The 18,333-nt window shown below is 33.3% G+C and overlaps 1 protein-coding gene across 16 annotated transcripts in view; it reads left to right on the top strand.

Moving 5' to 3' along the window:
* CACNA2D1 (calcium voltage-gated channel auxiliary subunit alpha2delta 1) overlaps window positions 1-18,333 on the top strand; it is a 497,513-nt gene that overhangs the window by 439,969 nt on the left and 39,211 nt on the right. For 6 of the 16 annotated variants that reach the window (XR_001744873.3, NM_001366867.1, XM_006716118.4 and 3 more), the window contains exons 19-22: window positions 2,273-2,329; window positions 6,738-6,809; window positions 9,049-9,120; window positions 12,742-12,803. Coding sequence is in view for 15 of the 16 variants with exons in the window: in NM_001366867.1 (NP_001353796.1) it covers window positions 2,273-2,329; window positions 6,738-6,809; window positions 9,049-9,120; window positions 12,742-12,803 (263 nt within the window). In the remaining variant the exon portion in view is untranslated. Of the gene's footprint in view, window positions 1-2,272; window positions 2,330-3,957; window positions 4,910-6,737; window positions 6,810-9,048; window positions 9,121-12,741; window positions 12,804-18,333 lie in introns of those variants that run through there. The other 10 variants (XM_005250574.4, XM_005250572.4, XM_047420822.1 and 7 more) reach the window with 4 other exon arrangements.

Raw genomic sequence — 18,333 nt, 5'->3', positions numbered from 1 at the left:
AGATCACCTGAGGGCAGGAGTTGGAGACCAGCCTGGCCAACATGGTGAAACCCTGTCTCTACTAAAAATACAAAATTAGCCGGGTGTGGTGGCACATGCCTATAATCCCAGCTATTTGGGAGGCTGAGTCAGGGAGAATCTCTTGAACCCGGGAGGCGGAGGTTGCAGTGAGCCGAGACCACGCCATTGCACTCCAGCCTGGGCAACAAGAGCGAAACTCCATCTCAAAAAAAAAAAAAAAAAGTAATGTGATGAAGGGTGTGAAGGATCTCTACTTTTGTGATTATAAACCTTAACCCTTACCCAAAGGAACTAACATATATCATAGACAGAAGAATAAGTACAATAATGCATATATGATTTATATATATATATCTATATATCTATATATATAAATCTACCATCTAAGGGCTGTAACAATTTAGGCAGTTTTCATAGTGAAAGAGAAGTAATAATTTGAAGTTTTTTTCCTTTTCTACATTCTTCTACTAATAACCAGTATTTATGTAGAAAATATTACTATTTGAATGACATTAACCTATATTTGGCTCGTATTTGAAATAATTCACTAAAATTTATAATATTACAGAGAAAACAAATTCTTTAGCAACTTCATTAAAGCCCAATTGATATTTTTCTTCCATATTATAAATTAGCTTTGCATATCTTTATATTTGGATTTTATTAAAGCAAATATTAATATGTAACAGAAAGACATTTCCAAAAATACTATTTCAGAACACCATGAAAAAGAAATTATTCTGAACATCAATTTATTCTTTATTTCTGAAATTCATGCTTATGAATTCTCATCATTAATTCAGTAAATATTATGATTTCCATTTATGATTCCATTTAGTGGCTAAAGGAGCACGCTATACAGATTGATACAAGACCTCATAAAAGGATGATATAGTATAAGATAATTGCTTTAGAAATCAACAAATACAAAGGAACATATGGTAACAGTATACTAACAAAATCTTAATTATTTTATCAGAAATTCATTAATACAAGTGAAGAAAAATAATGCTATATCTATAGCAGCCATTATTATTTAACAAGGTGAAAGTCTAATGTTATGCAAGTATTCCTCTTTTTTTTTTTGTAGAAGATGAGTGTTCTTTAAAAGCCCCCAGAATATCATAAAATAGCTACGGACTTTTCACATATTTAATTTTTTAAGGATTCATAACATTTTCTCAGTGTGTACTTTTACCAGCATGACCACATTTTGACGTATGTTGAATTATGTATTCTGCTTTATTCCAAAATGGATTTTAACTTTCTTCCGTTTTGTGTCATTGAAGTAGCCAGGTTAGGTCTACTTAATTAGATATCTCATTTTGTTCAATTCTAAGAAATATGTATTGTATAGGAAATTGTGCATAATCTATGTTTGAGAAGTTAATATTTAAAATAAATCTACACTGTTATGGTTACATTCTCTATTAGTTTCATAGATATAACATTTGGTATCACTTCAGAAAACAAAGGCACAAATATGAAACGTTAAAACTTTTTAATATCGTACAATTTTCTTGGTTCATTCAGGCTGCTATAACAAAATACTATAGACTGGGTGGCTTATAAACAGAATTTAGTAACTCACAGTTCTGAAGACTGGGAAGTTCAAGATGAAGGCTTGGACAGATTGGTGTTCTGTAAGGGCTTGCCTCCCTCTAGACAGCCATCTTCTCACTCTAACCTCACATGGAGGAGAAGGGGTGAGACGTGTCTCTCTCTAGGGCGTCTTTTACAAGGGCACCAGTCCCATTCATGAGGGACCCACCAACCAAGACCTAATCACCTCCCAAAAGCCTTTGGATACCATCATCTCTGGAGATGAGGATTTCAACATATGAATTGAGGGATGGACATTAAAAATATTTATATTTGGGTCAATTTTTTGAGAAAATTGTTATTTCTCTCTCTCTCTCTCTCTTTTTTTTTTTTTTTTTTTTTTGTCAAATCAATGGAAAAGTAATCTGGGACAAACAACCATTTTTCCCACTTCCCAAATACGTACTTTTCTAGAAAAAGAAAAATAATAGTCATTTTTCTTAAAAATGTAACAGTTTGTATTCATTGAAGATATTTTTACATTCTTATTTTATTGACTCATGAACTCCATACCTACCAAATATTTTGAATTCTATCATTTAGACCTTTTTGCAATCAAGGAAATATCTGACGAAAATTGATTATAGGATAGAACCCGTACCTATGTTGACATGTACTATGATGAATTACCATTTTTCTGTTGCTTCAGCCTATTGGTGTAGGTATACCAACAATTAATTTAAGAAAAAGGAGACCCAATATCCAGGTAACTGTGAATGAAGGTAGCCTTAACAGTGCTTTCAAATTTGCTAAATCCAAGTTGGGATTAAGCTTCTGTTCTTAAAGCTTATAATTAAAGCTGCCTTTCCTGACATCAAGCTTCCAGAGCATGAAATGAGATGAGCATCATTTCTTAATAAGCTGGAGCAAAAATGTTATTAATGATGGTAGAGGGTGTGTATTGGCTAACCAAAGATTGCAAAGTCAATTATGGAATCAAGTTAATAATCAGAGAAATCATAACGAGATGGCTTCTAAAAATAAATTTGTTATTAAAATTGTAAAATTAATGTCAAATTCATGTGATCCTAACAATTTGCTTGTAAATTGACTTCTACGTGGAAATAAAATACAATTCCTATATGACAGTTTCCATAAGCCACAGATTTTAAGCCAAAATTTCTAAAAAGTGTAATTTTGGGTTAGAAGTTAAAGAAGTTTCCCTTAGCTAATTAAAAATGTACCAAAGTGCAAATAAGTAGTGAATTTTTATTACCTGGTAAACTCATTGCGAAAGCTTTTCCTTTTGGCAACAAAACTTCAGTTATCACATGTATACAATATTTCTAAATGCACAGTAAAACTATTAATAATCAACATAAAAGGATACTTCCTATAGCTTAGCAAGAGAATTTCAGAATTTCAAAGCATGTTCAACATTATTTAAGATTGTGTAGGTAAGCCTACCATTTCTTTGAAAAAGTTGGTGACATTAAGGCCGGCCACGGTGGCTCATGCCTATAATCCCAACACTTTGGGAGGCTGAGGAGGGCCGATCACAAGGTCAGGAGTTTGAGACCAGCCAGGCCAACATAGTGAAACCCTGCCTCTACAAAAAAAAAAAAAAAAAAAAAAAAAAAAAAAAAAAAAAAAGAAAGAAAAATTAGTTAGGCATGGTAGTACATGCCTGTAGTCCCAGCCACTCAAGAAGCTGAGGCAGAATCGCTTGGACCCAGTAGGCAGAGGTTGCAGTGAGCCAAGAGTGTGCCACTGCCTCCAGGCTGGGTGACAGAGCGAGACCCCGTCTCAAAAACAAAATGAGTAAATAAATAAGTTGGTGACATTAAAATGAAGAGGTAATATGTTATTAAGAGATGGATAAGCTGTGAATTAGTAGAATTGAGTGCTAGTTTGGTTCTGAAAGCCAACACTGTGTTCTTGAGCACTCCACTAAATCCTGTAGTGTTTAATTTTCTTCATCTGAAAAGCAGGAGAATTGAACTAGTCACTAGTTTCCATCCTACACAGTATATTCACCTAGGAAATTAAATATATATATGTCAGTCCCCTGCCTCATCCTCTGAAAATTCTGATTTAATTTGGCAGTGATGGGACCAGGCCTCTACATAGTTTTTGTTTTGTTTTGTTTATTTATTTATTTTTTTTCTGAGATGGGTCTCACTCTGTCACTAGGCTGGAGTGCAGTGGCGCAATCTCGGCTTACTGCAACCTCTCCCTCCTGGGTTCATATGATTCTCCTGCCTCAGCCTCCCGAGTAGCTGGGATTACAGGTGCTGGCCACCATGCCCATCTAATTTTTGTATTTTTAGTAGAGACGGGGTTTCATTATGTTGGCCAGCATGGTCTTGATCTCCTGACCTCGTGATCCACCTGCCTTGGCCTCCCAAAGTGCTGGGATTACAGGTGTGAGCCACTGTGCCCGGCCTCTAAATAGTTTTTAAAGCTCCCCATGGAGGTCTAAAGTGCAGAGCCACTGCCCTAGTTGAGAAACTTTAGCTCTCTTCCAGTGCTAGAATTTTAGAACAAACTGAATTTCCTATTGTTGCATATGAAAGTCTTCATATCTTTTATAATTCCTATAAAGTTTAAAATTATGTTTATGCCTTTCTTGATATAGTAAATTGTTTTGTTACTGTCCTTGCATGTTTCTTTTTATGTATTATCTTATACTTTTGCAGTCATGTGCATTTTAGTGAATTTTTGTTTTTGCAGCAGCCTCAAATATTGCATGTAACTCTTAACAATATAATTAAAAAATAAACAACCTGAAAATGGTCTGTTTTATTTTTGTTTTCATTCTAAGAAAACTCTAAATGGCAAACTAGCAACCACACAAGACTCCTCAATTTGAAGGCTATTTTTGAACTAAGTAGCATTTGTAATACTATCTAGTAATTATTTCAATTTAAAATTTGTTAACATTTCATTCTTTCGTTTCCACAAATGGTGTGGTATTTATTTCCATTGATAACCAAATTTTGCAAATGAGAAATACTAGGTATTTTAATATCAGACAAAAACAATGGGTGTGCAGAGACTATATTCCAGTTCTTCAGCCTCTCTTGGTGCTTTCTTATTGAAAGATTATGCTTTTGAATTTTGTAGTCACCATGCCCGTGGTGAATCTTTTAAAAAATGGTCAGCTAGATTGCTATATTAAAAGTACAACTTATGCATTGAGATTTTTCTTTTATGATTTCATTTTCTTCTCTGTGTCTTTGTATGCTGGATTGGGACATGATCTTCATATTGCCAATTCTTCCTGATAATGCCTCCTCCATGCATGCTGTTTGGGTCTGGTCATGCTATGCATTATCCATTGCATGTAAGATAAATACTCTTATTTCTGTTTACTTTTTATTATTTTCATTATTTTGACTTTGCTTTGCAGTGAGTTTGTTAAAATTTTAATGCTGATATGATGGTGTTTGTGTGAGGACAGTTTATTTCATGGGACATTAAATGAGCAATTCTGAATAATGTTGTAAACTTTAGAGTATCCTTTTGTTAGGGGTTTTCTAGGTTTCATTTTTTAAACAAAGAAATTAGAAGAATTTTCAACATTGGCTTTTATTTTATTCTTTTAAAATACGCTGCATTTCAAATGAGTATTTCCTTTTCACGCAGTAAGATGTCATCAGTATCTTACCAATACTGGTCAGCATTTTCACCTTTGAAAAATTTAATACTTATTTTCAGTATTCTAGAATCTTCTGATTGTAGTGATAGAGTACTTAAGCAGTGAATATTTTTTTCAATTAAAGTGCCAGACATGGCTATTTTTTAAAATTTGCCTTTAAGAATGTTCATTTATCAAAAACCATAGGAATCAAAAATTTTCATCTTTAGGTGGAATTACTCTTTGAAGGAAGGCATTTTTGTCAGTAAATACATGCCGTGTATACTATGTCATTCAACATCTTGATAAGATATGCTTAATTTTAGTACATTTTTACTTATTGCAACTGCCTTGGGAAGTTTCTTCCTAAAACAGTGCTTAAAATGGTGATAATTTGAACATCTTTTGAAAGAGTCTGTGAGGCTTATATTATTAAAGTTTGAGTGACCTTTGCACTAATCCAGCATAGTTTGCGTTTGTTACTGGAATCTAGTTATCAGATTTAGGTAATATTTTAATAAAAATTAAAAATTCAGTTTCTAAAATTTTGCAATTATGAAATTACATATACCTATTATGATTTTATTGGTCTAGTAAGCTTTGAAATTTTAGTATGACATGTTACATTACTTAGGAAGTTATAGAGGAATTGACTGTATTTTGTTTATCAAATAGTTCAATGAATCTTCATTTTGCAATTGAGACATTAAAATAATATCATATGAGGTAAATTTGCCAGACTAACAGTATCATTTTATATAATGATATGAATAAATAAGAATCTATCTTATTCCCCAGTGTTCTTTCTTTATTATTATACACCAGCAAGAAGAAGCAATAGGAAATAGTATTCATTGAACCCAGGGGTTATTATCCTAGTAAGACTTTAATTATAATAGCTAATCTTAAAATCTTTATGACAACCACAAAATTTATCTTATACATTCTGATGTCATTTGAATTATTAAAATATAAAATTTCTTAGATTGAAATATATGAAGCAAACTTGCACCTTTTCTTTATATACTTTCAGAAGGAAGAACAGGTCCAATAGAATGTTTTACTTGGCAAGTGTAGACATAATTTTAAAACATTTTCTCATACACTTTTTTTTTTTTTTACAAATTTTAAAAGTATGCTTACATGTTGCCATTGTTTTATTACCAAATAAGTCATCCAAATGGCTATATTTTGCCCCTTTCCCATGCTAATTAATGAAAAGAAAGTTGTGAATGGTTCTTCAAAAGTGATGTGCCCAAAGAGCTTGTGAATATAAATGCAGTATCAAATACAGCACTCAAAATGACACTGTCTTCACTTGCTTATTAAGATTTCCTGCACTTAAAGCTCAATCTCTAGCTTTTATATATAAGCTATATATATATATAAAATATATATGAAAGAAGATACCTTTATACAATTATTGTATCCTAGGTAATTTTTGCACAATTTCATAAATACCCGTTAAATTGTTTTATACACAGCATCATTGTATAATGTTACATGTACCTAATTATTATTGTTTTCTGTGTAGAACCCCAAATCTCAGGAGCCAGTAACATTGGATTTCCTTGATGCAGAGTTAGAGAATGATATTAAAGTGGAGGTGAGTGGAATCAGTAAGACTAAACAATTCCTCAGGTCAGATGCTGGTATGCACTCATTCTACAAGTATCTGTTGAACGGCTACAATGTGTTAGCTTGTCTGTTTGATACTGTATACACAAAGATGAATGTTCTTTGTCATTAAAATTTTCTAGATCCTAGGTTTTCCTATCCAAAAGATCATATGAAAAGGAATAAATGTTTAAGTTGGGTTCGACCTTAGTCTTCTTTCTCTTCCTAAAGGTAGACATATTTTCACTATTCTAATACAAATGTATCTTGTAAACTTCAGTAAAAATCATAGAGATGGAGGATGTTGTTATAGTGTTGAAAAAAAAGTTGGAAGGAATCCAACCACCCAAACACATAAGAAATAGCATGAGTAGAAGCTGTCATGTTTGCCTTAATACATTTTACTTGGCAATCTATTTTATTTCAAAAGCAAAATTGCATATTTCCTCCTCTGAGAGAGTCTTCCATAATAATGAGAGTATTATATTAATAATAAAAATATTAGAAATATATAATAAATAACATTATATGATATATGTTAGTCATGGATTCTCAAGAGGCTTGGAAATAGGTATTTTTATTTCAAATTATAATATCTGTTGTACTGATGATACATTTGAGGTACAGAGAGGTCAAATAGTTTCTCTACAGTTCTTCAGCTAATAAGTAGCAGAACTTGGCTCTTGCATTCTAGATTACAGATTTTTAGGATTTTTCCAGATGGATTAACTCCCTTGCAAATGCCATCATGTTTCTTTTATAACTTGTCACTGCATTTCAATTGTAGAACAATAGAATTTAATGATTTATTATAATTACCCTAGACGGTGGCCTTGTGTTAGGGTGTTTAGGTGATTAATAGTATTTGTTGTAAAGTAATTGACATAATAAAGTAGGATAAAGTAATGGGGACAAGCTTGGTGTCTGGACTCTTACTCCAGTGAGTGACCAAAATGATCTTAGATTCTGCAAGCCTCAGTTTCTTCTAAATCAATCAGTAATAGTGATTGAATGAAATAATATATAGAAAGGACTTAGCAAAAGGCCTGGTTCATGGTAAAGTCTTTATTATTTTTGAGCTCCTCATAAGTGCACACTCAACTTACATTAGAAGCTGTTATCTACTCCTTCCTTTAAGACCCAAATATTTGAACTAAATTAGATACATCAAACATTCGTGTTCTTCAAATTCAAATTATTCCTTTAATCACACCAAGTTTGTTTACTTATCATTTGCAGCTTCCCGAAGCCACATGTAAATCACTGGTTGAGTTATAAAAAATAAGTTGAGGAAACTTCTGAGAATTGCCAGTCGACTGGAATATTTAGTGGATAATGTAACCTTGCACTTTTTTTTTTTTTTTTTTTTGAGGTGGAGTCTCGCTCTGTCGCCCAGGCTGGAGTGCAGTGGCGCAATCTCAGCTCACTGCAACCTCCACCTCCTGGGTTCATGCCATTCTCCTGCCTCAGCTTCCCAAGTAGCTGGGATTACAGGCGCCTGCCACCATGCCTGGCTAATTTTTGCATTTGTAGTAGAAATGGGGTTTCATCATTCTGGCTGGGCTGATCTCGAACTCTCAACCTCAGGCAATTTGTCCGCCTCGGCCTCCCAAAGTGCTGGAATTACAGGCATGAGCCACTGCACCTGGCCGACCTTGCATATTTTTAAGGATTTGGAGTATTCTACTGAAGGAGACTCAACTCTATTATTCTAAATCCAAATAGGTGTTTATAGTTTTCTCTGTCCTTTATTTAGATTTTTTTGGTACCCAGATATAAGAATTACAAACTAAAAAGTGTAAAGAGTCCTCTTAAAAATATTTTTCTCACATGAAACTCATTGTGTAAGGCAGAAATTTGAAGCATTCCGTGTTATATGTAATTCTGTACATATACATTTCTATGTCTCAATGACTACTTTCCACTCCAATGTGGCTAGCCATAATATAATTGAACATTTTATTAATTACGTTTCAAAAACTACCAACAGGTTGAAAATATTTCATTAAGGGTGTTTTATTATTTTAAAATAATGTAAAATGACTATAATATGGTAACTTAAAAAAATTCCCTGAGAACAACTGCAGATACTGGTAAAACTAACCCCCTATTTTTATTTTATTTGTTCTAAATAAGGTAAAGAACTTGAAAAACTACCATGTTAATAGTCATATTTTGGCAGGTCAGCTTTGTTTCTGGAATAAAGTAGTTGTTTCATTTACTCTTAGATTCGAAATAAGATGATTGATGGGGAAAGTGGAGAAAAAACATTCAGAACTCTGGTTAAATCTCAAGATGAGGTAAGAATTGATTCTAGCTTATTCTTAAATAAAAATTATATCAAGAATAATTGATATTGGTAACTTGTCCTTTTTTTCTATTAATCCACTATTTACTTATAAAACAGGGAGATCTCTAGGAAACAATTTTTCTTTTTAAAGCACTTCTTAGCTGGAGGGATATTTTCACTAAGATATATTTTTAACCCTCTTTTTCTTTTTATAAAATACTATTGCTTTAGGTTTCTTGATGTTTTCTTATACATTAACAGTATATTCTTGAAATTATATTTTACATACATATTTTATGAGAAATAGAATACACAATATAATGTTGCCATGTTGTTTTACACTATGCCAATGTTACAAAATTGAAGTTAATATTTAATAGCTATATGTTTTACATGATTTGCCTTTTTATTCTAATTATTGAGTTCCACATATTAATTATTTTTATTTTTAGCTTTTTGTTTACTTGTTTCTGGCTTGATTTATCTTCTTTTACTAGTTACACACTTTAAAATTTCCCAGCACTTAGATCTGAAATTAAATCCTGTGACAACACAACTACCCCCACAAATAATTGGTTTATGTCTATTATCATATTGGAGTATATCTATTATCAGTCAGAGGATTATGTCTATTAGTCAGATGTGGAGTACATACAGACATTTATACATTTGAGTATTTGAAAAATGTAAGTCTCAGAAGCTTTTGAGCCTGGAAATTTTAACTTAAGCTTTTATGTATAACCTATATCCTTTTCCTCACAATCTCATCATTTCTAGATGAATTACATTCCTCTGAAATTCCTCATCAGATCCTTCCCTAGGTGGAAGGTGAGCTAGGATCTGACTATGATCCTTCATTAGCACATGGCCTTTCTCATTTTAATATCATAATGAGTCCCTATTACAGAACGCAAAGGGAGGTATATTTACCTTTCAGTCTTTGTTGAAACTTCAACTCTATTTGCTTAGACTTTTGCACATTCTTTTCTCAGATTACAAAGTAATATTCTATTAACTCCCATTGATATTTTTCTTCCTTCAATTTATTGCAAATTACTTTTTTTGACAAATATTCACCTAAAGACTATATTTTCCTGTCTTAGAATTTTAAAATGTCTCTGATGAACACACTATTGTAAATAGATATAACTGCTAATTTTCAATTACTACATTGCCTTGTACTCCAGATTTCTATGTATATTGGTATTTCAAGAAAAGTTATTTATTCTATGAATGACTATAATTTTTATCACTATTCACTATTTTATAGACAATTACAACACTGTGCATACGTATTATTCTAATTTTAAGGTGATATCTTTCAAAAGCTCTATCTATATGGTCTATGTAAGGGGTTTGGCAGAGATATTTAAGATGTGATAGTAACCTTCACATTATAGTGTTATTTGGTTTAGCCAAAGTAGCTGAATTCCACAGGCTTAGGTTAGCTATTAACTTTGAAGTTCATTTTTGTGGTTGTTGTAGGAATTATAGAACCTTTCTTGTACCATGTTCCATATTGATGAGCTAGGAATCTCCAGTTTGGCACATTTCACAATGTTTGGCATAATGAGTTGCAAGTAATTTGAAATTCCTCACCTAGGAAATGTTTCCCACAGAACCTCTATTTACACCTGATTTATTGAATATTTTTCACTACAATCTGTCTGAAATTAATTTGTAAACATTTTTTTCATGGTCATGTCTTTCATGAGTCTTACTATTCTATAAAAATTGTAAGTGTATAGAATAAATGAGAAATTATATGAATCAAATTTTTAATGCACATATGCTAACCCTTATGATACTGCATTTTTATGGATTTTAGTATTACTACTGAAATAAGTTTAAAATAGAATTAGAACTTTTCAACTTAATTTATGCCCAAGTGAATCTGGTTTGTTGGAATCTGAAAATAGTTTGTATTTATTATGCATACTCCATCAACAGTCCTTTGTTTATAACTATATGCTTGGGCTAAAACTAGAATTCATTTGTACTATTTCATGCAGAAAATTTACTGAAAGATGGTAGAATTTAGTAAGGATAAACTTACTGAATAATGACTTTTTTAAGAAGCTAATCTGAGAATACTTTCAAACTTCAAAAGCAGTTGAAAAATAGATTTCTTGACTAAAAAATTAGTAATAATGTTTAAAATTGTCCGTTTGATTATTTTATTACAAATTGAAGACTGAACAAGATTATAATTTCTGCTACTGATATTGAAAAAACTTACATTTTTATTTCTCTGCTCTGATACTGTTTTCTGATACTGTATTTTATTTATAACTTGCAGACCAACACTTGCTTGCCCTGTTTTTTTATGAGTAGTAACAAATATATAAGCATTGTTTCTTCTAATTCTTTTAAGAATATTGCTAGTCCAAAGCCCTCTTCACAACCCTGTTCCCCCCTCCATCTGCCACACATACACCCCACACATGCTCACACACAAACACGCACACATTCATTGTGTAGTTGTCACAAACATGAATTTGGCATTATATATTTTGCCAACTTAAGCACCTTACCTCTTCTTTAACACTTATTTCTTCATCAATAAATTGCAGGATATAAAAGTATATACTCCAGTGGTTGGACTAAGTGACAGAATGACAGGTGCTTAGCATAGTGCCTGATACCAAGAAATACTTCAATACATGTTACTGTTTTGGTGAGAATGATGAAACTCAAAAATAACTAAGCAAATTAAAAATTATACATGTGCCAGCGGCTGAGAGCGGTGGCTCACTCCTGTAATCCTAGCACTTTGGGAGGCCGAGGCGGGTGGATCACGAGGTCAGGAGATCGAGACCGTCCTGGCTAACACAGTGAAACCCCGTCTCTACTAAAAATACAAAAAAAAAAAAAAATGAGCCAGGCGTGGTGGCAGGCCCCTGTAGTCCCAGCTACTGGGAAGGCTGAAGCAGGAGAATAGCATGAACCCGGGAGGCGGAGCTTGCAGTGAGCCGAGATCACACCGCTGCACTCCAGCCTGGGTGACAGAGCGATACTCCGTCTAAAAAAAAAAAAAAATTATACATGTGCCATCGCAATACCTAATGGAAGACAGAATGTATAAAAGATAGAGCCATGCATGAACTTCCTTAGCTCTGTATTTTCTTTCCCTGGTGGGTTTATTAGATGTTGTCCTAACCTTCAGTGATACTGAGTAGCCTCTTATGATACCATAATAATGCTATAATAGTGGCTTCATAAAAACAGTCATATGCTAATCATAAATTTGGATCTAGACACACTGCATTAATGTCCTGATGTTGCCTATTACTCTTAACATACTTTAGTATGGACATATCCGAGCCTTGTCTAAATACTTCATAGTCCTGTTTCATTATTAAAATTTGTTTTTCAGGAAATACTGTTTTCAATGTTTTGAAGATAATAATTTGGCATAAACTATAAAGATTTTTCACTTACATTTGTTTCTGTCAAAAATTTTGCTAGACACACCCAGAAAATAAATAAATATAGAATAAAATAGATCATACCTTTGTAAAGATGAGTATTAAATGACTACAAAATTTATAAGTAAATTCTACGGCTTTACTTTTCGTATATATTCATACAAAATGTAAAGTGATAATAACCACGTTAAACTTCTTTCTAGAGATATATTGACAAAGGAAACAGGACATACACATGGACACCTGTCAATGGCACAGATTACAGGTAATTAACTGTATTTTATGTGTATTGTGTATTCCAATGGATTAATATTAAGTCTGCATTTTCACAAGTGAATTTTCATGTGATTTTCACTAGAAAAGTTCCCAACATGAAAACATACTAAACTTATAGACTAATTTTTAAAATGGAAAAGATGGAAAAACTCTAGTAATATAAAATTTAGAAATGAAAACCTATGTGATATAAATATATATATTTTGTATTTTTACATGAGAAATGTTGACAAATACCCATAATAATATGTAGGGTTCACTTTCACTGACTTCCTCTTTTAGTTGTTGTTTAGTTTACATTAGGTACATTTGAGTTGAAAACTAACTAAAATATAAAGCTTATCTCATCATTGTGGTATCTGATATAACATGTTTAGTTGATATAATTTACCTCCATGAGTATCAGTTCTATAATATTGTGATTCCTCCCATTGGCTGGGCTTCGGAAAGTTGGACAGCCTAAAACCTAGTAATCTCTTGGTAATTCTCCATTCTTCAACACTTGCTCAACACTTCCTTCACTTTCTTGCTCTAACTCTCCTCTGAGCTCACTGCTTCCTCTGAAGTCTTTAGAATACTGAGGGTGATATGAGTGTGTCGTCATTACTCATTCTGTTTTTTTTTTCCTTTCTGAAATTCCCATCTTTTAATCTCATGACACCAAACCACACCACCTGCTATTCCTCCTTCTTAACAGTCACATCCCTCTCATTCCTATAAAGATTTCAACTCCTGGCTCATTGTCACTCTCTCCTACATTCACATAGTTCACTGTTTTGCAAATGATGCCATACCCACACTGGTGTAAAGAAAAATAAAAATTATTTAATAAAATAAACTTTAAAAGAAAAAACATAAGCTCAAAATTTTTACTATTATATTTCACAGACATAAAATTAGTCTGTTACATTGCTATAAAATTTTCTAAATACTTCTCCCAATTTCTGTATTTTGCTATCACGGGCTTGTAATAGACAGTTTGCAAATTGGCTAGGTCCATGGAAAACACTTTAAGTAGCATTGACATAGATGATGTTTCTAATACCTGGGCTCTGTTACTTTTGGCCTTCTCTCCTCTAATGATCTTGTCACCCCCCTACCTTAGTCACTGACTCCAAAATCATATTCTGCAGCTCTTACAGTGTCAAGTCTGCAATGCCTTCATAGTCTTTACATGAGAATTTTTCATCCAACTCTCAGGTTACCACATTTTAGCTTTCCATCTTCTCCTGCTAGTAGCCCAACTGCAGTAATCCTTGACTCAAGACATGAAATCCATCAATCCCTTCTCCCTTTTTGCTGTCTTGCCCTCTTTGTGTCCTTGTGCCCTTCTTTATTTAGCAGAAATTCCTTGGGTCTTTCACTGTCTTGTGCACACCACCAACTCCTTTCATCATAGTTGAATTTGGCATACAGCAATTTGGCAAAATACCAGTCCTGGTTAAATTCAAATTATTAGCCACACCACACTGCACCCATACAGCTAAAAGTGACTGAAGTAAAATGCTCACTAGCTGACATATCACCTAAAATTCATGACCTCTAACCTCAAGTGGGCCTTAGCGGTAGCTGGCAGTATCCATAATCCTGTAATTTTAGGACTCTCGTAGATGACTCTTGATCACTTCACTCTCCAAACCTGTAATACTGTCTCATCATTTTCGCTCAGGTGATGAATTTGCTTTCCATTTCACGGAGAAAAATAGAAGTGGTCAGAAAGAACTCCCACTATTAGAGTACATAACTACTTGCATCTGTATCTCCATCGTCTATCGTTATTTCTGTTCTCAACACAATCACAAGAAGGATCTTAACCCTTGAGTAGACTGTTTCATTTCTCTACTCAACTCCCACCAGTAAATTTGCTACCTCATTCAGTCTGACACCCGAAGTCTGGCACGGCCATCAGTGGCGTAAATCATTTGACCTTACTGACCGTCAGCTCTGTGAATTTATCTTCCAGATTCTCCACTGAAAAGTCCCTGGTTAAGCCACGCTGTCCTTTTTGCCACACAACATAAACACTGGCACCCATCTGCCTCAGAACTTTTGTATATGAAATTACTTCTGCCTGGAATTACTTTTCCCAAACAGTCACATGCTCATTCCCTCATCTTCCCATCTTTACTTACTTTTCATCTCTTCAGAAAGGCCTTCTCCAACGATCCTATTTAAAATGTATAATGTTTCACCACACTCTATCTCCCTCTTCCACTTCATATTCTCCATAACCCTTATTGAAATTTAACATCATGCACACACACGAAACATATATAGAGAAACTTATTTCTACTGATTATCATCTGTTCTCTCACTAGTAAGTTCCAAGAGGGCAGGGATTGTTCCCTGCTTTATTTACTTCTGAATCATCAGCTTGTATGACAGTGGCACATAGTTGGCACTCTACAAATATTCACAGAATTGAAGAATTTCAATTTGGAGAAATGGAAGAATTTTCCAACTGAAGAAATTTTCAATCTGTCTCATCCTTTCAAATTCATATAGTGGTGTACAGAACTTCCATTGCAATATTTAAGTACGGAAGTCTCTTTAACTACATATTAATATACAGTTAATATGTAGGCTGTGGTGAACTCAACTATTTCTCTCCTAATAAAAATCAAACCAACTCCCCAGAACATACACATAAGCTTTTATGGGAGCCTATGTTATTATCATAGGAACTTATCTCCTTTAGTATTCCTAGGATTGCATGTAGAATAGACAGAAGAGGAGAGCATATTGCAAAACACCAGAATGGCTGTTTTAATTATTTTACTTTTTTCTATCAACTGATTCCTATCTCTAATTTCTAGGCATTTCTTTATACATGCACAATCTTTATGTGTATACACAAGTTACTCTTTTTCCTCCCTCTTCCTTATTGCCACCTTTCAATTTTTGGATTAACTTGTCAAAAGGTGCAAAAAGAGAGGAAATCTTGAAGGTCTGTCTCTTGAGAGATGATTTTATGATAAAACAAAGTATCAGGGCATCGTATGAGAATGCATTCTGTGTCTTTGTTGCTTAGATGAACAAATTCTGAGAAAAACTGGGTTCTTTTGACCCTTACAATGTGATAGTTGGCTCTCCTACAGTTATAAGGACACTTTTGGGGTGTTTTACGTGTCTCACAAATGGCCTCTATGCTCAACCTCTTTTCCGCATGCACCCAGTGATAATACACAGTGTGAGCAGGCGAATGTTCTTTTCTCGAGTTCATGTCACTCTTTGTTGACAAAACTTTTGTCTCCTTCCATTTTCATCATCAAGTTTAATTTGAACTTCCAAGTCTGATAGTCCCTTCACACATTTCTAACCCAATGTATCTGTCCTGTCATTTCTGCCACTTCCATCACCATACATATCACTGTTCTCTGACAAGGCCCCAACTTTCCCACCTTTGCGTTTCCTCACACATTCGCTTTCCAAGTCTCCAACTTTGGGCCAGATTAAATCTATTTCCATTGGAAATACTTTTCTGAATCACTGTACAAATTCACAAAGAGCAATTTAGAACAAAATGTTACATCTAAGTTGAAGGAAAAAACATGATATGTTTTGATTTCATGAATGAGATACAAAATTTTCATCTGGTGATTTCTCTCTTCTTAAGTCTTGATCCAAGTACCATATTTTGAAATGTAATAAATTATTTTAATAGGATGCTTTCTCTTTTTTTAGAGAATAATTTACTTTTATGGAGATAAATGAGTTGAAAAGTGTGTTATAGTCCACTTAACTCAGTTAACCATGTTTCTGTCAGTCACAAAACACTGCCTGGGCTATACTATTCATCTGGTGGCCACTTGCTTTATTAAACTTTAATCTCTAGAAGGAAATAAAGCAGTCTTGGTCTATCAGTTTTATATGGACAGAGACAGCAAACATTGTATATGACAGCACCATTGACTAGGAATGTTGATAAAGATCTTATCTGACTATATGTTGAAAAATTAACTTGGCTTGAGATGGACATAATTAAATTAAGTATAGCTATGTTTTTCTATAGAACGGACTGTAGCTATTAATAACAATCAAAGACTTACAGGCCAACAAAACGCATAGTAGATGTGCTAGTTTTAAAACTTCTCTTTTCTTCCTCATGGGTTTCCATACTATATTTATGGTATATTAGATGTAACCCAAGCTTATCCAGTGACACTTTAGCAGTTGTATGATATAATGTTATCGGTTTTAATTAGAAGTTTCTCTTAGCAATAAATGCTGATGGGGCAATAAAAATGTCCTAATTTCCCTTGAGAAGAATTTCTGGGAGACAATCTTCAGTGCTCAGTAATTCTGCTGTACATTTTGTAAATGGCAAGTGAATCATGAAAGGTCATCTTGCTGTCAGAGTGATTGCACTGCTTATTTTAATTTTAATCTCTGCCTCCACTTAAAGGAAGTTACCTATAAAATGAATATAGAAATTTTCATTAAGTCTACATAACATTTTATTTCCCTGACCTTTTCCCATAAGGAAAGTCTATGAATTACTTAATAATAGAGAAAGATTTGGGAATTGGAGGTAACAAGCATCCATTCATTTTGCTATCTTTATTGTATAATTAAATTTTAGCAAATAAACCCTTGCTTTTTTTTTCCTTTTCATAGAGTGAAATTTTAATATTTATAGTCATATGAAATTTTGAAATTTTATGTTTTTCCCTATTCTATATTGTCCATAAAAATATATAATGATGTTAGGATATCCAGTCCCAAAACTGGGGCTACGTGAGGCTTAAGTGATTCAGAAGATCTACAAATCCCTAAATCTAAAAGTTGAAATTATTAAAAATTAATTAATTAATTAAAGGATCTACACATGCCTGGAAATACTCAAAAGCATAGATATACACACCTTTTCCTGCACATTACTAAAATTTGAGCTAGCTATTAAAAGTGGATGCTGAAGGTGACCAAGTGGGTTACATTAAACAAGTATTACTTTTGGAAAGTAGTTAGATTGGGCATTTTAGAGGTAAACCCACTGTTCACAAGTTTTCTTCTATATTCAAAGCATAGCAAAGATCATGTGGCTCCATAGCACATGTGGATATGGAAAAGTTATGTCCTACATTTGAGTATTAGCATGAGAATAGGAGAATTACACATATGCAGTTGTGTTATTGGAAAGTGCATAAAATTCTGAAATCCTTTAACAATTCTGATGTGTTTTATTATTTTATTTTATTAATTGGCAATTTCAAAATAAGTAAGATTACCTGCCTAACAGCTTTTTATTTTGGGCAGTCATTAAGGCAAGTTTTGATGGCCAGCTTGTCTGACATTTTTTGTGTCTAAAACATTCTGAATTTGGCCTAAGATTTTCACTGGAACCCTCCTCTGCTTTGGACATCTACCGTAAGACTAGAGTAGCGCCGTGGCTCTTGTTAACTACAAAACTCAAGACACATTTCCTATTACATCTAATAACAATCTTCCAAATAATGTGGAATAATCACAGTAAATAAACTTGAAATAAATACTATGACTTAGTTTTACTATTGGGTATA

The sequence above is a fragment of the Homo sapiens genome, chromosome 7, assembly GCF_000001405.40.
Source record: "Homo sapiens chromosome 7, GRCh38.p14 Primary Assembly".
Classification (NCBI taxonomy): Eukaryota; Metazoa; Chordata; class Mammalia; order Primates; family Hominidae; genus Homo; species Homo sapiens.
The sequence above is the reverse complement of the archived record's forward strand: the minus strand, read 5'-3'. Positions and strand labels throughout refer to the sequence as shown.